Source organism: Homo sapiens, chromosome 5, assembly GCF_000001405.40.
Source record: "Homo sapiens chromosome 5, GRCh38.p14 Primary Assembly".
NCBI classification, from domain to species: Eukaryota; Metazoa; Chordata; class Mammalia; order Primates; family Hominidae; genus Homo; species Homo sapiens.
In genome coordinates, this window is record NC_000005.10 from 136,040,214 (window position 1) to 136,064,732 (window position 24,519).

General features: G+C 49.3%; 1 protein-coding gene across 1 annotated transcript in view, besides 2 other annotated features; it reads left to right on the forward strand.

Annotated features, from left to right (window-relative positions):
- Positions 1-23,605, forward strand: part of TGFBI (transforming growth factor beta induced) — a 34,831-nt gene extending 11,226 nt beyond the window's left edge. Inside the window, exons 3-17 of the mRNA NM_000358.3 lie at positions 3,845-3,909; positions 6,122-6,282; positions 6,638-6,802; positions 7,061-7,207; positions 9,226-9,367; positions 12,694-12,906; positions 13,730-13,867; positions 14,503-14,648; positions 15,467-15,603; positions 16,452-16,582; positions 18,877-19,001; positions 20,621-20,723; positions 21,287-21,366; positions 22,450-22,474; positions 22,973-23,605. Of these exons, the coding sequence (NP_000349.1) occupies positions 3,845-3,909; positions 6,122-6,282; positions 6,638-6,802; positions 7,061-7,207; positions 9,226-9,367; positions 12,694-12,906; positions 13,730-13,867; positions 14,503-14,648; positions 15,467-15,603; positions 16,452-16,582; positions 18,877-19,001; positions 20,621-20,723; positions 21,287-21,366; positions 22,450-22,474; positions 22,973-23,013 (1,819 nt within the window). The 3' untranslated portion in view covers positions 23,014-23,605. The remainder of the gene's footprint in view (positions 1-3,844; positions 3,910-6,121; positions 6,283-6,637; positions 6,803-7,060; positions 7,208-9,225; positions 9,368-12,693; positions 12,907-13,729; positions 13,868-14,502; positions 14,649-15,466; positions 15,604-16,451; positions 16,583-18,876; positions 19,002-20,620; positions 20,724-21,286; positions 21,367-22,449; positions 22,475-22,972) is intronic.
- Positions 13,019-14,218: an enhancer, noted in NCBI's record as "P300/CBP strongly-dependent group 1 enhancer chr5:135388921-135390120 (GRCh37/hg19 assembly coordinates)". NCBI's record gives its function as "activates an origin of replication core promoter dependent on BRD2, BRD4, P300/CBP, MED14 and CDK7 cofactors, with strong dependence on P300/CBP, by STARR-seq in HCT116 cells {active_cell/tissue: HCT116}" and the evidence as "EXISTENCE:reporter gene assay evidence [ECO:0000049][PMID:35650434]".
- Positions 22,465-22,564: a silencer, noted in NCBI's record as "silent region_16378". NCBI's record gives its function as "represses an Ori minimal core promoter by ATAC-STARR-seq in GM12878 lymphoblastoid cells {active_cell/tissue: GM12878}" and the evidence as "EXISTENCE:reporter gene assay evidence [ECO:0000049][PMID:35858748]".

Genomic DNA, 24,519 nt, shown 5'->3' on the forward strand with positions numbered 1-24,519 from the left:
ATCCCTACACATAGACTTTGGGTTGACATTATCTCTTTGCACCTTCCTTGAAACTTTCTTCTAAATTAGGTGCCTTCCCTAATTTAGGCACCTTCCCAGTACTAGTCTGTGACCTGTTAGGAACCAGGCCACACAGCAGGAGTTGAGTGGCAGGGAGTGAGCATTATTGCCTGAGCTCCGCCTCCTGTCAGATCAGCAGTGGCATTAGATTCTCATAGCAGTCCGAATACTATTGTGAACTGTGCGTGTAAGGGATCTAGCTTGTGCATTCCTTATGAGAATCTAATGCCCGATGGTCTGAGATGGAAGAGTTTCATACCAAAACCACCCCTTCCCCCTGCCACCATCTGGGGAAATATTGTCTACCACGAAACTGATCCCTGGTGCCAAAAAGGTTGGGGACCGCTGTCCTAAGGGATCTGCTTTTTCTGACCTGAGGTTTTTCTTTATTAGACTGTATCTGGCTGAGGAGAAGCCTGAAGCCTTTAATCGGAACAGCTTTGGCTGATGAGATTAGATTCAGAAACCAACAGATTGGTCTTTTCTATGCAGGGAAGCCTAGGAACTGGGGGGCTATGGCTGGGAAGCCCCCTATTGTTTCCATCCTTTCCTATGTTCATCCTGGAGGAATGGCATCAGACCCATGCCTCTGTGATTGCTCCCAGCCCATCCAACCACAGCATCTATGTTCTGCCTGGGACCAGGGCCAGGGAGCATGGCACACTGAGCTGAGTATAAGGAGAGTGGAGCAGGCCACTGCCAGCCCAGAAAATTTTGGTCAAAGTTGCCTGAAATCTTCTCAGCCTTCGATTCACAGCTGCTCTCTGCTGCTCTGGGGCCATGCAGACCAGTTCAGAAAAGAGTTAATTTGTTGGGGCAGTTGGAGGCAGGTGGACTGCCAGCTTTGACACCTTCCCAGCCCACAGGCTGCTGCACTGGGGCTGAAGGCGTGGCTAACCCCTGCACACCTAGAGAGTGACAGAGATGCCAGACTGGGCAGCAGGAAGGCAAGAGGATTAAGAGAGAGCTTCCTGGCTGAAAGCCACACTCGGTTAACCAGGAAAAAGCCCTTGGCACGAGAAGACTCAGTGGCCTGAGGGACTGAGCCTTGGTTGTTGGGCATGTGCTGCATAAGCCATCCATGTGTGACAGTAGAGTGTAGTCCAGCCACTGTGGGACATGGGTGCTGAAAGACCACATGGAGAGGAACAGTGAGTGCTGACAAGGGCTAGCCTTGATCACTTTGGAGACACCCCCTGTGTCTTCTAGATGTCAGACTTTCCAAATCTGTCTGCTATCCTCCAAACGTGCATTTTCAAGAGCAATGGAAAAAGGATTGGACTTGATGGAATGCAGCAAGAGTCCTAGGTCTGTTACTACCTACCTATGACCTTAAGAAACTCCTTCACCCCTCAGAACCCTTACAGCTTTCTTTCTGATTCTATCCTGAGTTACTCTACTCCAAGCTGAGACTTTTCTGCTTAGATCTATCCCTTCCTCCTAAACCCCCAACCTCCATTTCTCCTGGTGTCTTTCTTTACACACCCCTCAGCATACACACACACCTAGCCACAGGAACCAATGAGTTAATATTTGAGGAGTTGGTTTTCTTTTGTCCTCAATGAGATCCTGGTGAGGCCACTTGAGCTGTTCAGCTCCCTTGCGGTATTTTGGGGATGGAACTCAGAAGCCAACAATATAGAAAAAGAGTCTTTGGCCAGCTTTCCCAGGGGCTCCATGCCATAGAGAGTACTGCACCCGTGTGCACAGGGGGCCCTGACATGAGGACTTTGAGGATAACACTATTCCTCCAACTCTGCTTCAGCATCTCCATGGATTTTCACACAGACACTTTAGGAAAGAAACTAAGTTTGGGGGGACTTGACCTAATCCCACATCACAGCCCCAGTAATACAGCCCTGGAATTTATCACAGAAAGCCTAGAATCCCATGCATATCCCATGCATATGCATCCCTAGTCCTATGGGTTCAAGGCTTGGAGCTCTCCCTGGATTTAGCTGGGAAAAGTTGGCAGACAGTTCTTCTCTGTCTTCTAGAAATATGGACTAGAATCGTGAGTGTGAGATTGCAAGTAACTTTTAAAATCATCTAGTTTAACTTCACCCCATTTCATAGACCAAGAAACTGAGACCAGAGAGAGAAATGGACTTTCAAGTTCACCCTGCTAGTTACTGATGGATCACAAGTCAAATCTCCTGATTCTAGCACTGTTTCTCTTACACCACACCACCTTTGAAAGTGTGTCAATCAAATCTTACTTTAGTTGCAGAGGATGACTTTAGTTTCTGAAGATAAAATTGTGAGTCAATCAAGATGAGTCCCAAGACAATAGCCTGTTTAGCCCTTATAAGTTCAGGGATGAAAGGTTAGAAAGAAACAGGATGGAAGGAGGACTGGAGAAAAAAACAAAAGAGGAAGGAAGGAGGAGGAAGCAAACAGGAAAAAAAAAGAATGTGCATAGCTTGTCACTCCTCAGTCATTTCCTGGGAGCCCATTTCTAGCAAAGTGACAGCTGCAACTCCCTGGCCACCTGAGCATCTTAGCTGATCTGTCTCTGAAACACCCCCTGGAGAACAGATGAATCAGGCTTCATCTTCGCTTAACTAAGTCTTCCCTGAGACGACTCCATTTAAATGAACAAGAGCAGGATTTCCTGGGCACACTGAGAGCACCTTCCAGAGGCCCCTCCAGAGCCCTAAAGCCTGTATTTCTTCCAGTCGGCCTGTTTCTTTCCTGGTGATGTCATTAAACGCCCTTTGAGAGTCCCACAGTGAGCAGTTCTGCGGTAAAACCCGCTGCAATTAAAGTCTGAGTCCTTTCCTGTCTCAAAGGGCATATTCATATAGAAGAAAGGAAAAGGAAGGACTGGCTGTTTGCATTTGGTTCCAGGCCTGTTGAGTAGAGGTCGTGCTCACTCCACCGAAGGTACAGGGTAGCCTTCAGCAGAACCTGGGGATTTGGTTTTAAGCAAGTCTTTCTTAGGTGTGGGCTTTCAGAACACTTCCTTCCTTGCAATATTATTTGAAATTCTCAGTGTTTTAGCCGTCCCCAGAATATTGGTTCGTTAAAGCTGTGTATTTCAGATCTCCAGACAGTGGTCACTGTTTGTATATTTTCAATTTCAAACCAGAAAACAAAAGTTCTTATTGATTACTTTTTTTATTTAAAAAATAAAAAGTAAGTATCTTCGTAAGAGGAGCTTTGTTTTAATTTTAAAGTTTAAAATTTGATTGTGAAGACAGAGAAAAACTTGATGATTGTAGATATATTCCCCTCTTTGGCTATTCAATCAGAGAACTAGAAAATCATGAGAGATTTAATGACCACTGCCTGATACACATATGTGTTTTACAGATGAGGAAACTGAGACCCAGAGAGATGATGAAATTGGCTGAGGATGGCCCAGCTGGTCAGTGAAAGACTCAGAGCCAGAGCTGGTGCAGGGCTCTTTCTATTCCTTCCTGTTCCCTTTCAGGAACACTCACCATCGGCTTTCCTGTGAATAATGTTGAGATAAAATCCTTGGTGCATTATGTTTTCTAGTCACAACATTGACTAGGCTGCCAGAGTCCTCTGTTCTCCCAGTTGGTTGGCTGTAGGTGTTGGCAGCCGCCAGGAGCATTCTACAGAACAGAGGAGGAGTGAGACTCTCCTTGCTCAGGAAAGGCAGACCTATGACTTAGCAAATAACTCCTAAGAGGAGAGTGTTTCACCCACCATTCCTCTTCCTTGGCTGTGGAGGCAACTTAGTGGAGAGGGGCCAGATGACCTGTGAGGAACAGTGAAGCCCTGCCTAACACAATGTATGGTTGTCTTGTTACAGAGTCATCAGCTACGAGTGCTGTCCTGGATATGAAAAGGTCCCTGGGGAGAAGGGCTGTCCAGCAGGTGAATGAATCCTCCGGGCCTTGCCTGTTGGTGTGGGTGGAAGGGAATGGTGGGAGAGAGGAGTACCCACATAAAAGGCAGCAGAGTGTGAATGGGGGCAGTGGCACAAGGACATGGCATTCTCCCCACGTGCCCACTGGCCCCAGGCTCTATGCGAGGGGCTGAGGAATGGAAGCTGGAAACAGCGCATTTCCTGAGCTGCTCCTCCTGGCCTCCTTACCACACTGGTGGAGTAGACTCCAACTGTGGCCTGTCCATGCCCTTCCCAGCAGGCACAGGCTCAGGCTCAGGCTCTTGGCCTCTGCCTCTGGCTGGGAGTGATTCTAAACACATCCAGCAGGGTCAGCCTGATAGCCCATCAGTTTCCGATCAGCTCTGCTAGAGAGCCGATGGGATGTGGGAGGAGGGGGTCACTGGTGGGCTGGCAACCCCAAGCCATCCCCATCTCCCTCTGTGTCTAAACTTGGCCCTTTGGAGTTCGGTAGGGAGAAGAGCCATAGGCCAGGTGGGCTCACCCAGAGTCAGCAGAGAGTCCCACAAATGGTTGCACTGGGCGAAAGACAGCATGGCACCTGTGAATTTTATTAGAGCTTTTCTTTTAGTGCTACACACAAGTGACTGTACAGGGGAGTTAGTATTTTGTTTTAATTTTGAAATAGAGTCATCTTTTGGTATCTGCGGGGGATTGATTCTAGGACCCATTCTAGGATGCCATATCCTCAGATGTTCAAGTCCCTGATATAAAGTGGTATAGTATTTGCATGTAATCTATGCATATTCTTCCATGTACTTTAAATCATCTCAAGATTACTTATAATACCAAATATAATGTAAATCCTATGTAAGTAGTTGTTATACCCTCTTTTAAATTTTTGTATTATCTTTTATTGTATTTCAAAAAATATTTTTGGTCCATGTTTAGTTGAATCTGTGGGTGAAGAACCCACAGATACGAAGGGCCAACTGTATTGGCTATTTTTTTAGTTAAGAATGTGAGACTGAGGCCAGGCGCAGTGGCTCATGCCTTTGATTCCAGCACTTTGGGAGGCCAAGAGGGGACGATCACCTGAGCCAAGAATTCGAGACCAGCAGCCCGTGCAACATAGTGAGACCTTGTCTCTTAAAGATTGTGAGACTGGGCTGGGCACGGTGGCTCACGCCTGTAATCCTAGCACTTTGGGAGGCCAAGGCAGGTGGATCAACTGAGGTCAGGAGTTTGAGATCAGCCTGGCTAACATAGTGAAACTCTGTCTCTACTAAAAATACAAAAAAATTAGCTGGGTGTGGTGGTGGGCGCCTATAATCCCAGCTACTCAGGAGGCTGAGGCAGGAGAATCGCTTGTATCCAGGAGGCGGAGGTTGCAGTGAGCTGAGATAGGGCCGTTGCACTCCAGCCTGGGCAAGAAGAGCAAAACTCCATCTCAAAAATAAATAAATAAATAAATAAATAAATCATGAGACTGAGACATAACAGGAAGGAGGGCAATTTGGTTGGTTCCAAGGTTCCTAGAGTATGTGATGGGAGAGGTTGGTGCGGGTGGGGCCATGGAGGTACTGACTCAAGTGGAGGGACAGGTGGGGAAATGGGATGGGAAAAGAAGATTGACCTTAGAAGGGGAGCTCAACCTCTGAACCCTAATTTCAGACCCTTCAAAATGAATATTAAGCTCATTTTGGTCTAAGAAACAAAAAACAAATGAACATGAAACTCATTTTGGTCTTATAAGGTCTGAGAAACCCCTTCTAAACTTCAAGCTGCTTTAAGAAATAACATTTTATTACCTGCAAATACACACAGTACTTTGGAGATTTATAATAGTCTCTTATTCTAATAGAAGCCATTAGGGAACCAGTTTCAATAAACAGGTAAATCTGTAAGACTAGTTTGTAATTAGGATATCTGTTTCCAGTGTCCATTCCTGCCTCTGTTATCTAAATGTCTGGGAACAAGAGCTGTGCTCTGCTGTGTTTAAAATGATTAAAAATCACCAATTAGTTGAGTTCACGTAGACAGGCATTTGACTTATTGAGTTGTTTTAAGAAGACTATAACAAGCCTTAAGCCCCCCAGAAACAGCCTGTCTTTGGGCTTTCCCACATGCCTCCTCGTCCTCTCCACCTGTAGATGTACCGTGCTCTCTGTCAGAGAAGGGAGGGTGTGGTTGGGCTGGACCCCCAGAGGCCATCCCTCCTTCTGTCTTCTGCTCCTGCAGCCCTACCACTCTCAAACCTTTACGAGACCCTGGGAGTCGTTGGATCCACCACCACTCAGCTGTACACGGACCGCACGGAGAAGCTGAGGCCTGAGATGGAGGGGCCCGGCAGCTTCACCATCTTCGCCCCTAGCAACGAGGCCTGGGCCTCCTTGCCAGCTGTGAGATGACCTCCGTCTGCCCGGGGGACTCTTATGGGGAACTGCCTTACTTCCCCGAGGGGTGGGCATGATGAATGGGAGTCTGCAGTCATTTCCTACTGTTTCAGGAAGCTTTCTCCTTAACCCCTTAGAAAAGGCTGTGGAACTTGAGCTAAAATATGTCTTACCAGGTTGCGTCTAATGCCCCCCGTTCCCTACTGGGCAGAAAGACTTGGGTGCTTCCTGAGGAGGGATCCTTGGCAGAAGAGAGGCCTGGGCTCACGAGGGCTGAGAACATGTTTCCCAGAGTTGCAAGGACCCATCTCTTAAACACAGAGTCTGCAGCCCCTAACTGACACCCTGTCCTTCCTCCTAGGAAGTGCTGGACTCCCTGGTCAGCAATGTCAACATTGAGCTGCTCAATGCCCTCCGCTACCATATGGTGGGCAGGCGAGTCCTGACTGATGAGCTGAAACACGGCATGACCCTCACCTCTATGTACCAGAATTCCAACATCCAGATCCACCACTATCCTAATGGGGTAGGGGATCCCCAGCCATACTGCATGGCCCTTGGTGCATAATGAACCCATTTCTGTTCCATGTGTGGGCTGGTTTCTGGGGTTTAAGCTGTAGACAACCCACCCTCTTTGTGCCTGCTTCTCCTTGGGCCCTCTATTCCACAGCTTGTGGAACCCACATTTTGCTACTGTGTTTGAAAACACTGTTTTCTCCTCCCGGGGCTTTGGGACTATGCCTCTGTTGTGTTGACTGCTCATCCTTGCTGCTTCTCTGGGCAGATTGTAACTGTGAACTGTGCCCGGCTGCTGAAAGCCGACCACCATGCAACCAACGGGGTGGTGCACCTCATCGATAAGGTCATCTCCACCATCACCAACAACATCCAGCAGATCATTGAGATCGAGGACACCTTTGAGACCCTTCGGGTAAGGGACTGCCCTGGGTGGAGGCCCAGGCTTGGGACACATTGCCTCCCAAGAGGGGCCTAGCAGGAACTCTTCTGCAGGAGAGGTAGAGGATGGCTCCTGTAGGGGAACATAGAGCAGGTTCCCCTGAATGCCCTTGAACATGGAGAATTCATTGACCAGACATTCAGCTTGACCTAACCTGTGAAATTCTCCATCTTCTTTATAAAGTGTTCCCTTCCTTGCCTCCCCTGGAAAGGTCAGTGGTGTGTGGCTGCAGCAGCACAGTGTCCTCTGAGCCCTGGACCTGCACTGTGGCTTCCAGAGGTGGCAGTTCCCACATGGGGTACTAGAATAAATGGCCTATCAGGCTGTGTGTGCTTTGGGATCACATGTCCCCACCCTAGGACCCTGGTTCCAACCATACGCATGTTCTCTTGGAGCCCAGAACAGCAGAGAAGCCACCAGTGTGGACACAGAAGTCAAGGGTCTGATTTCCAGCCTGGCTTCTGACTGCTCTGGGGCCGCAGGAATACGGTTCCTTCCCCCATGCCCAGCAGGCATTTGTCTTACAACTGGAGGGGAAGGCATGTTCCTCTTGGCAAGGACTGCTCAGGAGGAAGTGGAGGCAGGCTGCCCTGTCAGGGTTTTTGCCTTGATTCAAGGAGAACTTCCTAACCACAAAGGATACAAGTGGGAGTGAGGCGGACCCTCCCTAGAGATCTCCAACACAGAGAGACAAACACGCTGGGGCTGGCTGGCACTGACAGGCCTCGCAGGTGTGGATGGCTGTTAGCTGGGAGCTTCGCTGTCTAAGCTCCTCTCCCATGCTTTTCTTCTGGGTTGCTCGAAGGACGGGGGTCTGCAAGAAAATGATGTTCCCACATAGTTGGCAGCACGTGAACAGCAATTGATCCCTTTGCATCACCTCCTCTTACTGTTTAGATTTGGTAAATATTTCTTCCTTCCCTCTTCTGACCCTCCATTTTGCCGATCTTTCCTTCTTATAACACATACTTACTAGGTACCTGCTACTTCCCGGGTGGGCCTATGTGCCAGGAGTATAGAGGTGAACAAGGAAGGCAAAGTTCTATTCTCAGTAGAGCTAATACTCTATCTGGAGAGAGACAACAAACAAATCAACAAGGTAGCCAGGGGCTGTGATAATTTATGTCAAGTGGGCAGGTAAATCGGGAGTGACAGTAGTGCAGGGAGGATTGGAAAGTCAGGGAGTTCTCTCTGGAGGAGGTGGCTTTTGATCTGCAGCCTAAAGGATGAGAATGGGTCCATTATACAAAATGCTGGGGCAAGAGCACACCCAGTAGAGGGGAGAGTAATAGCAAAGGCTCAGGGCAGGAAGGGCAAGGGAGAGGCCAGTGGGTGAGGTCACATGTGAAGGGCATACAATGGGCAAAGACAAGGCCAGAGTGGCCAGGCCCAATCCTCCAGGACTTGCAGACCTGGGAAAGAGTGCATCTCCATCCTGGGAGCAGCAGGAAACCACTCAGGCCTTTAGAAGATCCTTCTGGCAGCTGTGTAGAGAATGGGTGGTGTGATCCTTCCATGCATGGGCTCATGTACGTGATTACCAGTAACTGTCGAGTGACAGTGTGAGGAGGGCTGCAAGCCATGAGTGTAGGCACAGCAGACAGACTCACCTTTGTCTGGCGGTGAGATGGGGTGGGAAGTGTGCCAAGTTGACCTCCCAAAGAAATGATATTTTAGTGGAAGAATGAATAGAATCAGAGAAGCAAAGTAAGAGGGAAGAGCAGAGAGGACAGCAGGGACAAGGACTTGGGGGCAGGAAGAGGAAAGGCAGGTTAAGGACATGAAAGATGGCCAGGCTGGCTGGAGCTCAGGCCCAGCAAGGCCCCCTGGGGGCCATGGTCATGGGTGAGCTTGGGTTTGGCTTCTGTTTTCGTCTTGGGCTTCTGTGAAAGCCTCGAGCCCTTGCGGGGAACCAGTGAAGCTGTGTGTGCATCTTCTGTGGGGAGTGCCAGAGTCTTCAGGGAGCACTCCATCTTCTCTCCTCCCCACAGGCTGCTGTGGCTGCATCAGGGCTCAACACGATGCTTGAAGGTAACGGCCAGTACACGCTTTTGGCCCCGACCAATGAGGCCTTCGAGAAGATCCCTAGTGAGACTTTGAACCGTATCCTGGGCGACCCAGAAGCCCTGAGAGGTGAGCATCCTTTGGCTCCTGCTGCTGCCTCATTTGTGCAGCTAGATTGAGCCCAAGACCTGCTCTGGTCCAAGATGAACATACCACCTGCCATGAGGTGACCCTCAGGATATCCACTGCAGCCATGGGCTGGGGTCATCCTGTCCTGTTGCTTCAGCTAACCGTGTCTCTAGCAGCCACACTACTCTGAGGGCTGACTACAGAATCCAGCAGCTTTTGTCTGGGAGAGCTGGACTGAAGAGAGGCATAGCTGGAGACCCATAGCTGGCCCTGGCCAGAAACAGGGAGAGTGAAAGGCTGGAATAGCCAAGGCCAGAGCAAGGCTAATAGGTAGAGCAACAGCTTACAGGTGTGGGGGTGGCAGATACTGGCACCCTTGAAATGGATTCCTCATGCCCACGCTTCACTATTCTTCTCTGTGGCTAGGGGATTTATGGATAAACCAAAATTACAGTTAAAAACCAGCCATAGGCCAGGCACAGTGACTCACGCCTTTAATATCAGCACTTTGGGAGGACAAGGTGGGCGGATCACCTGAGATCTGGAATTTGAGACCAGCCTGGCCAACATGGCGAAACCCCATCTCTACTAAAAATACAAAAATTAGCTGGGCATGGTGGTGGGCACCTGTAATCCCAGTTACTCAGGGGCTGAGGCAGGAGAACCACTTGAACCCAGGAGGTGGAGGTTGCAGTGAGCCAAGCTTGCACCACTGCACTCCAGCCTGGGTGACACAGCGACACTCCGTCTCAAGAAAAAAAAAAAAAAAAACAGTTATAGTAGTCAACTTTTGACTCTCCATTTCAGATTTCGTCATGCCCTCCTCAATGAGCTGCTAAGTTAGGCAGTGCATTGATTATTGCTGCAGGAGAGGGAAGGAAGGAGCTAACGTGTTTTCACATGTTTTCCTTTTGGAGATGAGAAAGGAGGACTCTGCCTTCCCCCTACCCTGCCCCTTTCTACTCCAGGACCTCTGAAAGGCCATGAGCACAAAGCTGCTGCCTGAGTCCCCTGAAATGCAGGGTACGCCCCAGGTCTCTGATGTACCCCACCACACTTTTCCTCTCAAACATATTCCAGGATCACTTGATTTCTTTTGAATCTATTTAAACCCACCGTGTCAATGTGCTATATAAAATGTCTAATGCATTTCAGACACCCTATACATCTATACATTTAAAGTGTTCTCCTTCTATCTGTGCAGGGATGGGAAAGGGCATATTTCTGAAAGCACAGATGGGAAGACGGGATTTGTTCCGTGTCCAGGTGATTATGGTACCTCTATGCGCCTGGCCGGCACTGGGGACAGAGGCCATGAAAATGAATACAGCACAGCCTTTGCCTCCAAGAAACTTAAGACCTAGTAGAAATGGCAGGCTTTAAAACAGGTTGTTGGGATCTGATTTGGTGAGTGCAATGACAGAGATACTCACAGCACAAAATGGGGAATGAGGGCGGGCATTGGGACACACATAGCCTTAAGGGGCCCAAAGGCTTTTAGAACTGTATTCCCTATTAAAACATGATTTGCACAGAGCACATTCTTTGCTTTGGAGACCTCAGAACTCCTTACTATAGGCCGGGCATGGTTATAATCCCAGCACTTTGGGAAGCCAAGGCGGGCAGATCACTTGAGGCTGAGAGTTCAAGACCAGCCTGGCCAACATGGTAAAACCCCGTCTCTACTAAAAATACAAAAATTAGCTGGGTGTGGTGGTGGCCACCTGTAATCCCAGCTACTCAGGAGGCTGAGGTAGGAGAATCACTTGAACCTGGGAGGCAGAAGTTGCAATAAGCCCAGATCATGCCACTGCACTCCAGCCTGGGCAACAAAGCTAGACTCTCTCAAAAGAAAAAAACAAAACAAAACAAAACAAAACAAAAAAAACTCCTTATTATAAACTGTAAGAAAAAAAAGGCCCCTACTTCGTCCCTTTTGCAAATCTGCCTTTTCCTACTCACTAACCAGCTGGTTCAGAGCAAGGACACTCTGTTTGGTGCCATCGCTGCAGACTGGAAGGAAGAGGTCCTTGCCCCACACCCAACAGTCTCCTGCTGTTACCGGCAGGTTGGCAGGCAGGCAGGCGAGAAGCAGCCAGGGCTGGTGGTGTGTCCAGTTTGAAGACTAGTTTCCAGCCCTGGCCCTGCTCACCCTCCAAGTGGCCCTGGCAGGTTCCTCTACCACATCGTGGACTTCACCTTCCTTCTCTAAGAAGCTCAATCCCCAAGGCCTCATTCCCATAGGCCTTCTCACCCTTTTTCTTTCCCTCTGGCTGAATGTGGCCAGCACGGGCTTCCAAGGCCATCAACTCGTCTGCAGCAGCCCCATGCCTTGCAGGGCCTCAGAGCTTCCTCCTGCCTATGACAGTGTGGTTTTGGTTCCCACACTTGGGATCAGATTGAAACTCGCCTCCGTGGTGAGAATATGGGACATAGAGCCTCGGTGACCTTGGTGAGCAGCAGTCCAGGCCACCTGCTCAGCCTGGGGTTGGGGGGGGCTCCTCCTCCTTGACTGGTCCTTGCATTTGCCTCCATCCAGCCTGTCTGGGCTCTCCGAGGCAATGGAGACCAGCAGGAGTCACGATGGGTCAGGAGCCCCCTTTGGGCCTCAGCCCTGCCCTGCCCCCTAAAGTAGCACTTGGATAAGCAAATAAATTATTATACTTACTATTTATGGGTGTGGTGAATGGGATGGCAAAGGCCAAGTCTTACTGATCACCAAACCTTAAGATATATCCTGGCAGCTAGTAGACCCTTGGGCTAAATGAACAGAAAACTGGACAAATAAAGTGTACACAAATAACTCAAAGCTGTCATTTGTACACTTTTCGTCTTTTCCTACTACAGTTTACATTTTTATAAAGGTGAGTAGATTTCTAAAATCCCGTGGTAGGCTCTCTTGAGTTTTTCTTGTATCCCTGAAGTTCAGCTACAAATAAGCTAATCACTAACATTTGTTGAGCATTTACTCTGTTGTCAGGCCCCGTGCCGAGTGCTTTAGGTTCAGAATTTCATGTCATCCCCACAGCAGCCCTAGGAGATGAATGCAATTCTTATGTCCACTTGACTGATAAGGAAGTTGAGGTTCAAAGAGGCTAAATGACTCTCCCAGGGTCCCACAGCTGGAAAGTGGCCACAGGGCCCCAGCTGGTTTTCTAGGGCAGCAGGCAGAAGGCGAGGAGGATCTGGGCCCTGTGGTGCCCCAGCCTCATCTGAGGGTCCTCATCTGAGAGAACAGGATCCTCACAGCATGGGCAGGCTGCAAGTGGTCCCTGAGGTTATCGTGGAGTGGACCCTGACTTGACCTGAGTCTGTTTGGACCCCAGACCTGCTGAACAACCACATCTTGAAGTCAGCTATGTGTGCTGAAGCCATCGTTGCGGGGCTGTCTGTAGAGACCCTGGAGGGCACGACACTGGAGGTGGGCTGCAGCGGGGACATGCTCACTATCAACGGGAAGGCGATCATCTCCAATAAAGACATCCTAGCCACCAACGGGGTGATCCACTACATTGATGAGCTACTCATCCCAGACTCAGGTAGGCCAGGCCTCCGGGGGCCTTGGCCCTGCCTGGCCCACCATCTCTTCTGCCATCCTTTGTGGCGGGGGAGGGGAAATTCAGAGATCTTTGGGCGACTTCCCTGCCTGGACCCAGCTCACAGCTTCTCGGCCACTGCAAATGTGTGGGTTGTGACCAGACTGATGTGTCTTGAGCTTCAGGCTTGCAAGTGCAGTGGAGAGGCAGTGGGGAGCTATTGAAGGGGTCTGGGGACAGACTCAATCACAGAGGCCTTTCAGAAGATCTGCCTGCTGTGCATGGGCAAAGAGGGCCACTTGCTGACCTCAGAGCATGTGCTTTCTCAGTAGTGCCCAAGCTGTCCCATGGTCACTGACCCAGTTAGAATGACTGAATGGACTTTGGCTTGTGTCTCATTAGGAATCCTAGCCCCATTCTAGTCTTCCAGTGAGATCTGTCCATGAGTGAAGGAATCTCACAGGAAAAAACAAAATGCTTCTATGGGTGTGGTTGCTGGCCTTATCTACACCACAGAAGCCATCACACAGACTGTCTTTCTTCCCATTGTTAGAATGTGCCCTGACCAAGCAGCCCACAGGGCCTGGGACAGAGGCTGATCTCTGCCTAACTGAGCTCACCTCTCCTCCCTCTCCTCCTGACTGGTTAGATTTTCTAGGTGACTGTTCCCCTGATGACACAAGCCCGCTGGGCCCCAGCAGTGTTTAGAGGGGTTGTTGACTCACGAGATGACATTCCTGCTGATGTGTGTCATGCCCTGGGGTGGATGAATGATAAATGAAAACAGCGCTTTTAACTTTTGAACCCACTTTCTCCTTCCTTGTAGCCAAGACACTATTTGAATTGGCTGCAGAGTCTGATGTGTCCACAGCCATTGACCTTTTCAGACAAGCCGGCCTCGGCAATCATCTCTCTGGAAGTGAGCGGTTGACCCTCCTGGCTCCCCTGAATTCTGTATTCAAAGGTAACATGGGGAAGGCATCCCTGTTAGATTGTCCCTGGAGGCAGCTTCCCCACCCCTGTCACCTCCACAACACTCTCCGATTTACAGCACCCCATGGGACATTAGAACTTCCACTCAGCTCAACCAAAAGCAGATGTGACTTCAGCAGAAACTTCAGAGGCTCTGTTGTTTCATTAGGCAGTGCAGAGAATGCCTTTGGGGAGCCGTTCCTCAGAACTCAAGACTTGACATCTGGGAGGCAGCCGTTCCTCAGAACTCAAGACTTGACATCTGGGAGAGCAGAGCATTCCCTTGCCTTTCTATTTGCAGGGTCACTTGCCAATGTATAGTCAAGAGGTCAGAGTGAGGGTACAGCTGAGCTGCAGCCCCAGGAAGGCAGAGAAGGGGGCCAAGTTGTGTGCGTGCCTGCCCTTCCCTCTTAGGGCAAAACTCCAAACACCCTTGATTATCTGGATCTTCTTTAATTCTCCATAGAAGATACCAGATGTTAAGGAATATTGGCAGCTTCACTTGGTTTCTCAATCCCTGTTTCCAAACTCAAGGAGGGATGGGCTTTTTCACTGTATTTATCTCTCATCACTCTCTTCATTGCAGGAGCACATCTCTCTGGACCTAACCATCACCCTTTCTTGTAGATGGAACCCCTCCAATTGATGCCCATACAAGGAATTTGCTTCGGAACCACATAATTAAAGACCAGCTGGCCTCTAAGTATCTGTACCATGGACAGACCCTGGAAACTCTGGGCGGCAAAAAACTGAGAGTTTTTGTTTATCGTAATGTAAGTTCTGGGTCCTAAATCATGCTCCTGGGAAGCTCCTTACTGTGGGACTTGTATTAGTGTAAAAAAAAATGTCCTCAATAAGCAGGAGTTTGCATGAGAACTGGTTGCTGACAAGGAAGGAAATAATTTCTGGAAAATATAGATAACAAAATGAGATCCTGCAGAAGGATTGGAATCTCTTTTTCTGGAGGCCTTTGAGAATAAACCACACAATTATCCAACCTGTATTGTGAAGGAATAAGTCCTTCTTGAATTCAGGAATTAACACCTGGGAGGAGGGATGGAGTTCAGACTCTTTCTGAGCTTATGAGAAGAGAAGCCCCCTAAACTAAAATACAGCCCTCCTTGGTCCAAAAGGTGCCTTCTCTCTTCTGCTGTATCTTCTTTGTTTTCAAACCCAACAGTTACCCTGGAAATCAAAAAGGAAGTACAACTCAACATAGCTCTTGCCTGGGACCAACCAGCACCATTTGGCTAAAGATGGTTATCATCTGTTAAACAAAGAAATAAATAAATGGGTTCAACGTATTTATTTCAACATTGTCAATGGACCTCATGTGTAACTGATATTCTCATTATGGGACCTCTGTGTGACTTTATTGGGGCCTCTCTAACCGTTCTTTCCTTAAGGAAGACCATTTATTGTTTTATTTCCTGGAGAAAATACATCATTTTATCCCAGCCTTAATAACCCATCCCAGTGTATACTCCTTCATCTTCATGGATAATGACCCTGCTACATGCTCTGAACAAATCAGGAGGCCCCTCGTGGAAGTATAACCAGTCCTTTCTTTCTCTGTCCCTCTTCTGTGCAGAGCCTCTGCATTGAGAACAGCTGCATCGCGGCCCACGACAAGAGGGGGAGGTACGGGACCCTGTTCACGATGGACCGGGTGCTGACCCCCCCAATGGGGACTGTCATGGATGTCCTGAAGGGAGACAATCGCTTTAGGTAATTAGTTCCATCCCCGGGTGGAGCTTCTGCCCAGTGGTCATGCTGGAGTGGGATGTGGGGCCCCAGCTATTTGTCAAGCTTTCTTCTACCTTGGGGATTCAATTAACACTAGCAGTGCACTGCTGCGACCTTCCAGACTTGGGATGGGGAAAAGGCAAGGGTCGCCTTGAAAGCTTACATTGGGAAGAAGGGTTACTTCTAAGAGTGTAATCTTCACATGCATGGGAAGCAGGGAGGGGGGACTACATTTTTATGACTGAAGTGCAAGGAAAACATCACCCTCTCATTGTAAAGCTCCAAGTGAGCCAAGAGCACATAGTTTACAGTGCACGATGAGCCTCTCACTCTCTGCGCAGTATCTGTTTATTGCAACTGAAGCACCCTTGTGAGTTTGTTTTCTTGCCCGGCTATCTCCATTTCTGACTTGCTCATTCACCTTGGGGTGCTGTCATATTGAATGTTTCCCTGTCACTGACTTCAGCCACCTGCACAAGGGCTTGGAGACCACACCCCTCTGCCCTCCCAGAATCATATCCCTGGAGGCTCAGCTAGTCTCTGGGTCAGCCATACCTCTGCCCTTTCTTTTCCCTCCTTTCTCCTGTGGCCTCTGACGTCTGGCCATTTAACAGAGCTTAGCATTTTTGCTGGGTGGAGAGAGCTGGAGCCTGGAATCACTCCCTCTTTGTGCATACGGAGGGCATGAAAACCAAGGTGTGTGCATTCCAGTGGCCTGGACTCTACTATCCTCAGTGGTGAGGTATTTAAGGAAAATACCTCTCAGCGTGGTGAGGTATTTAAGGAAAATACCTGTTGACAGGTGACATTTTCTGTGTGTGTATCTACAGCATGCTGGTAGCTGCCATCCAGTCTGCAGGACTGACGGAGACCCTCAACCGGGAAGGAGTCTACACAGTCTTTGCTCCCACAAATGAAGCCTTCCGAGCCCTGCCACCAAGAGAACGGAGCAGACTCTTGGGTAAAGACCAACTTAAGTACACGTCTCCATTTTTCTAAAGTAGTGATCCCTCAGGGCCCCAGCAGCAAACAGTTGGCACATCAAGGATTGACTTGAAGGGATTTTATGACAAGACTATTAGTGAAAGAGTGGGCGGGACTAAAGGAACTAGCAAAGGATGAGGCCAACCAGGGACTAGCAACCCTGGGAAGCCTTTACTACCCCTAGGCCTGGGGGAATGGGAGGATGAGAGCAGGAACCAGGGAGGTCATGAGCCTTGGACAAGGGCACAGAACAGCAGCCAGAGCCATGTGCAGCCAGCCACTGTCAGAACCATGCAAGGGGGACCACTCAGCGCCCCAGCCTCCCTCTCAGACAGTTGCCATCTGGGTCTCTTGTTGGCTGATGCGAGAGCAGGAGGGAGCCCACTGATGCAGTTCATAGAGCTCAGCCTCCTGGGCAGGAAACCGGGCAGAGAGGAGTAGAAAAGAATTAAGGGTGGCTGCGACCAGCCCAGTCACTGAGGCACGTTTCCCACTGGAGACCTATGAGCACAGTGATAATAAAGCCAGTTACCTGCACTGACTATCCCTCCAGACAAAAGCTTTCCCAAGAAGTTAGTCATGGCTCTGAGAGATCTAGTTGAGGATGTTTGGCAGGGGATCTAGTGGTTACGGGTGGCTAAGAAAAATGAGGAAGGTAAGAGTATCTTGCAGCCTGTGTTGGGAGGATTAAATAGGATGCCACACACAGGGCCAGGCAGACAGCCTGGTCAGTAATAGCCATGACGATGGGGGCGGGGGGAGCAGGAATGGGAGTTGCAGTGTTTAGCTCAGATGCATGCCTGTGAGAGATGCTTCCACTCTCACAGAAAGATGAGACCAAGGAAAAGGAGGAGGAAGAGGAAGGACCTTGACAAACCTTGGGGCCCACATTGTCTACACCTCCCTTCCTGCTCTAGAGCAGAATAGAAAGTTCAGGTTGCAGGCAGCTCTAAGTTGAATTCGTGTCCTGTTTAATTTTCTTTATTGCTAAATGAATGCCTGTGTCTGTGATGCTGACGTATGTTCCTAAGGAGAGGGGAGAAGTTCATTCTGAACATAAACTTTTCATCCTCTCTCTGTCCAGCAAGAATGGAATATTCCCCAAGTGGCCTGAGCCAGCTTGGCTTTCTTTTTGTTTTCAATTATGTGGGAGTTGAGGAGGGGGATGGGAAAAGCTTCCCAAACACACCCTCCCCCAGGCCTGAGGCACCCCTGGGGGACAGAGAGTGTTAGAGGTTGGTACAGGTGTTAGAGATATTGAAAGGACATCCCATGCACCCCAGGGGCTGGTGTGGCTCTGTACTTCCAGGCAATATTTTGTGGAAGGGGAACCTTGTCAGCTCCAGGTTGTGGATGTTTGAAAATCAGTTGGTACCCAGTGGCTCCATCCTCTGGCAGGCATGTGGATTTGTCAATAACCAAGTGAACTCTCCAAAATAAGTTAAAACTTCCTCCCTTCTCAGTTTCAAGATGCTGGAAATAGCTGTTCATAAGCCCTGGGGAAATTTAGCCCTTTGGCTGGTAATGGGAGTATCCGAGATGAGAGGGCAGCTGGAAACTTTCGGAATGACCTCCCACACTTAATTTGGGAAATGCCTCTGCACCTTTATGGGCAACCAGATGCCTGCCCCAGTTGCTGGAGACACTGATGTGGGCTGAAAGGAATGCTGAGACGTGACGAGGAGAGATGCTGCGGAGGGAATATCCCCCTCAGCCCTGACCTCATCGGCTCCATGGCTCCTCCACAGTACAGCTGTCTACTCTTTTAAGTTCTCCCTTCAGGAAATAGCCATCTCAAACAGAATGTGCATTTGAGGGCAGAATGTGTAAATATTGCACTACTGTGTTATAACCGTCAGGAGCCATGCTGATGATGAAACGTCCCAGATGCCGGTGCTGGAAAGGTCCCTGGCTTTCCAAGCAAATATTTATCTCATGGAAACATGAGTCATACTCACAGAGGAGTATGGATTAACTCCTTCTCAGCAGCCAGGGAGCCCAGCATCCCAGACAGCATATTTAACCCAGAGGCCAACTGACTGCTGGGGCAGATTTGTGGTCATGAACATGTGCTTTGTGTCCTCTGACCATTAGACAGATTGTGGGTCACAACGTTGAGTATACAGTGGGAGCTTAATAAGTGCTTATTCCCTGGGCAGGGAGTTCTTCATTTCAGGGGTGACCACTTACATCTTCTCCTCTGGGCCCTCCTTGACCAGGCTAATTACCATTCTTGGGATTAACTCTATCTCCTTTTCCCGCAACCTGCAGGAGATGCCAAGGAACTTGCCAACATCCTGAAATACCACATTGGTGATGAAATCCTGGTTAGCGGAGGCATCGGGGCCCTGGTGCGGCTAAAGTCTCTCCAAGGTGACAAGCTGGAAGTCAGCTTGGTAAGTGTCCTGCAAATCAAAGGCTGGCTAAATTTCCCCAGGGCAGGGCTCCAGGACATATCTCACCCCCAGGATGGAATTATACACACACAACCTTCAAGTTGCAGCCCGAATCTCTGAGTGTAATTCGTCCAAAGAAAAAGAGAAAAGAGAAGAGGGTCTTCAGGGAAATCAAGTGAGATCATAGTTAGACATGAGTAAGAACTTCCAGATTTACAAGGGAATAGAGCATCTGATTTGGCATCTGAGAGAGGCTATTAGATCTTCCTTCTCTTAAGGAGGTTGTAGGCAACTAGTTATGTGACTGAAGAGATCAGTCTGTACTCACACCATCCCACCCCCCAAACCCAGGGCTTCACTGAGTTGTACCATGAACCAGACCATCCCAAGAGGCTTTTTGAGTTCTGACACTTGCTCTGTGAGCCTTCCCTTGCTCTGCACATTGATGATATAACTTTGTAACTGCACTAAGAGTGTTCCTAAAGCAGATAGCCAGCCGAGCTCCAGAAATCTCCCTGGCTGCACCTGCAGAGGCCACTGACCCCTCTGTGGAGGGACCGCTCTTCAGTGTGTGGCTGGCTTCTACTCTCTGCTCCTCTCTCTTGGTCTTCAGCCATCCATTGCTCACCAGTTTCTCACGAGGAGCATAGGAAGATATGCATGTAGGGAGGTAGGCACGGGGATGACTTGTTTGACTTTAGCAGGTCATTCAAGAATCTCCTCGCACCTGGTTTCAGATGCTGGGGTCCTGTCTGTCACAGGCTTCTGTGCCTCCTACCCCCTTGAGTTTGTCACATGGCCCTTCAGGAAGGCCTGAGATAGATTTGCCCTGGGTGGGCCTCCTATGAGAAAATCTTAAGTGAGGCACCCAGGCAAAATGGAAAGAGCCTTTTGCCCAGAGCAGGAAGCCTGTCTTCCATTTCCAGCTGTTCCACCTACTTAGCTTAAAAGAGGCACTTCGCCTGTCTTCAGTCTCAGTCTCAGTCTCCTCTTCTGTGGAATGGGACAATAATATCTACTCTCCTTATCATACACTGCTGTGAGGACTGAGTGGATCACACAAAAAAGCATTATGTAAATTGCAAAGTGCTAAATCCACACAGGAGATTTGAATTAATCCACCACACTGAAGGTCTGTCAAGGGCAGGGACTGTTTCATTCACCAGAGTATCCCCAGTCTAACACAGGACTTGGCATATGAAAAGTGTTCAGTAGGCCGGGTGCAGTGGCTCATGCCTGTAATCCCAGCACTTTGGGAGGCCAAAGTGGGCGGATCATCTGAGGTCAGGAGTTCAAGTCCAGCCTGGCCAACGTGGTGAAACCACATCTCTACTAAAAATACAAAATTAGCTGGGCGTGGTGGCACATGCCTGTAATCACAGCTACTCTGGAGGCTGAGGCAGGAGAATCACTTGAACCCAGGAGGCGGAGGTTGCAGTGAGTCGAGATCATGCCACTGCACTCCAGCCTGGGCGACAAGATTGAAACTCCATCTCAAAAACAAAGAACAAGGAAAAAAACGAAAACTGTTCAGTAAACACTTGCTGAATGAATAAAATAAATATATAAATGTATAAATAAATGCTCTACTTTCAACCACTACTCTGTTTTTCTTTTAGAAAAACAATGTGGTGAGTGTCAACAAGGAGCCTGTTGCCGAGCCTGACATCATGGCCACAAATGGCGTGGTCCATGTCATCACCAATGTTCTGCAGCCTCCAGGTAAGTGTCGCATCCCCACTGACTCTGCAGCCAGTCCTTTTCTTCATGTGGCAGTTGGTGGAGAGAAGAAAAACTGTTCTAAACAATGATGAGAATAACATGTAATTGTGATAGTTAAACTGTGCCTATGTGACTGATTGCAGAGTGAATTGGGAGCTGTTGGTTTTGAATGCACCACACTAAGGAATGTGAGGACACATTGCTCTTTGCGGAGTTGCCCAGCTATATTAGCTCCCCTCGGACACAGCCCAGTTTTCTGTATTCGCGTGGATGCTGTCCGCGCGATTCCCAGCACTCCTCTTACAGCATCTCACCTCAGTGTATGTTCCTTGCCTCCAGTGCAGTTGAACCTCAGTCCTGCCTCTCCTCATGTGTGCATTCACCTTTCTTGGTGCTCTCTCCCCATGGGCCAAGTTCTACCATGAGTTATGAAACATTATGGAGAAAACATGTCTTTGGAAATGTGAGCCAGAAAGCCCACCAGTGCCCCTCAGTCACGGTTGTTATGAATGACATGCTAATGGTTTCACTCTGGTCAAACCTGCCTTTTCTTTCCTCTTCAGCCAACAGACCTCAGGAAAGAGGGGATGAACTTGCAGACTCTGCGCTTGAGATCTTCAAACAAGCATCAGCGTTTTCCAGGGTAAGATGCCTGCTAGGTTTGCGCCTAGCCTGAGCAGCCTCAGGTCCTCTGTTTGGGCCATAGAGGAGCCTCTCCAGCCCCTGTCTTCCTTGGCTGCTCCCCAGGGCTCTCTTAAAACTTCTCCCCACTCCCACTGAGGCATCCTCAGCCCCAGCCTGTGTCAAATTCAGAGTAAAGAACCAAGGCAACTCCCTGGCTTTCATGGGCCAAAGCGCAGGCTTTCACACCGAGGCCTCTGAGCCTCAGATCATGGGGAAGTCACTGCTGGAGAGAACAGACATAGCTCTGGAAGCCATCTGCCCAAGAGGGCAGCCCATCCCAAGTTCATCTTACAGTGGCCAGGCCTGCCCTGAGCCGGGGCCTCTGGGTCACTCTTCTGCTGTCCATGGCATTGCCCATCCTGGGTGAGGCTGGGGCTCTCCTGGGCACTGTATGTATTCTGGATACAGGGATACTGGGCTCGCTATGTGTGTGGAGCCATCCCTTCCTTGCCCCAGCCCCACCTCCCTCTCAAACCCTCTCTGGCTCTTTCTGAGCTTCCTTTCCTGCTCCCCAGCTTGCCCAGTGCTCAGTGCCCCACTTGGCTCTTTTGCTACTTCGGGTCAGGTGGAGCCTCTTGGGAATGTGAAGTGCCTTACAGAAAGATTGCACTTCAAGAGGAGAGGCTGCAGGGAGCCATCCTAAACCCAGAGGCCTGGAGCTTACTGTGTCACTTTACTTTTGTACACAGGGGTCTCCTTAGTGCCCTCGAGAAGGATTCTTGGCCCTGAGCTTCTACTCCTGAGGCCACCTCTGTGCAGCCCCAGCTCCCTCAACTCTAGGCTGTAGTCTCAGTGGGAAAGCCTGGCTTGGGGGTCTCCTAGGAATGTCCACCTGAAGGCACACTTGATAGGGGCTTGCACAACTTATGTCTGCCAAGGCCACCTGAGGAACTCCCTGGTGCCTATAAGTTCCACCTTCCCCTTCCTCTTCCTCGCCCCAGCATTTTTTCTGAGTAGGGGTGGCAATGGGCAAAGCCATTGTCATAAGCAGTTGCAGGTATAACTTTCACTAGAAAACCTGACACCTTGTGTTTTCTTTCAGGCTTCCCAGAGGTCTGTGCGACTAGGTGAGTCTGGTCTGGGTTTGAAGTCATTGCAGACCTGTTTAGGCCTTACCCCCAAGCAAGCCCAAGCCTGCCATCTGCTGTATATAGATAAGAACATCATGGTGCAGTAAAAGAAGCCTGGCCTTTGGAGTCAGAACAGCAGGGTGACTTGGGGTCAGACCCAGAGCACCCCATTTCCTTCTCTGTAAGATGAGGATAATAAGAGTAACAACCTTTTAGGGTTAAGGTGAGTTTTCAGCTTAGGAAGTCTGGGAATATTGCAAAGGGCTTGGCAGGAACCCATGGTGAGGATCTAGTTCCAAGTTGATAGGTACAGAAAACCAGAACATCGGGCCTTGAGTAAAGAGTGAAGTTTCACAAACCACAAAGCACCTGCTATGTGCAGGAGAGCATGGCAGAAGGAGGCTGCTTGGCCCTGGTCCTTGAGATTCTGACAGTGTCCTAGACAGACATGGGGAGATCTGCACCTATTTGACGTTACCAACTTCTCTTTTTCAGCCCCTGTCTATCAAAAGTTATTAGAGAGGATGAAGCATTAGCTTGAAGCACTACAGGAGGAATGCACCACGGCAGCTCTCCGCCAATTTCTCTCAGATTTCCACAGAGACTGTTTGAATGTTTTCAAAACCAAGTATCACACTTTAATGTACATGGGCCGCACCATAATGAGATGTGAGCCTTGTGCATGTGGGGGAGGAGGGAGAGAGATGTACTTTTTAAATCATGTTCCCCCTAAACATGGCTGTTAACCCACTGCATGCAGAAACTTGGATGTCACTGCCTGACATTCACTTCCAGAGAGGACCTATCCCAAATGTGGAATTGACTGCCTATGCCAAGTCCCTGGAAAAGGAGCTTCAGTATTGTGGGGCTCATAAAACATGAATCAAGCAATCCAGCCTCATGGGAAGTCCTGGCACAGTTTTTGTAAAGCCCTTGCACAGCTGGAGAAATGGCATCATTATAAGCTATGAGTTGAAATGTTCTGTCAAATGTGTCTCACATCTACACGTGGCTTGGAGGCTTTTATGGGGCCCTGTCCAGGTAGAAAAGAAATGGTATGTAGAGCTTAGATTTCCCTATTGTGACAGAGCCATGGTGTGTTTGTAATAATAAAACCAAAGAAACATACGTCCTGTGTGCATGGTACAGTGTGCTGACCTGAGGCCGTCATGCTCCTCCACACCTCAATTCTGCTCTGGAGAAGCTCAGAAAGGAGCCCCGAGGGATGGTTTTGGGGAGATTCCAGCAGCCAGCCCTCAGACAGCCAGACAGCTCATGGGGGTTTGAGCCTGTCTTTGCCAAACAGGTTTTTATTTCACCCTCCTCCGGTCCTGGGGTTTCAAGTTTTCAGTGTTGCCTTCACCCCGCACTTTATTCCTCTTATTACTTGGAAGTACCTTCCCTCCAGCATGGTGATCCCCTGCCTGTGTGCTGGACTTTTGAGTCCTCAGCACCAACCTGTGAAGTGGTTGCCAGCATAATCCCATTATGCAGATGAGGAGACCAAGGCCCAGGGAAGGGAGAACCACCAGCAGCACGTAAAATAGCTGAGCTGGGACTGGAACTCACACCTCCTGACTCTCAGTGACCACCACTGACAACAGCATAAGTCCAGGTTTTCCAGGCCCATCCCCTCTGTGCCAACCCACATTCAGATTCCTTCCCCGGCTCCCGTAATCTCTGGCATCTAGAATATCCTCAGGACTCTGAGAGGTGATATCATGTGGTTGTGGTGCCATTGCCCCCTACCTGTGTGGCCTGGGGCCAGTCATGTGACCTCCCAGGGTCTCCTCTTCTGTAATAGGGAGATGACCGTCACATCTACTTCATGGGTCCATCGTGAGGATGAAATGAGATGATCTATATAAAATGCTTGGTACAACATTAGGTGGCCTTATTTTTATCCTGCCGTCTGGGACTGCTCAGGATCAATGCGCCAGAGAGCCTTTATTTGTGTCTTTCCCACAGGTGGGCTGGCCCACTTTCCTAGAGAATGGGACAGACCTCCTTCCCACCCACACCCATCTCTGCCAAGGCTGATT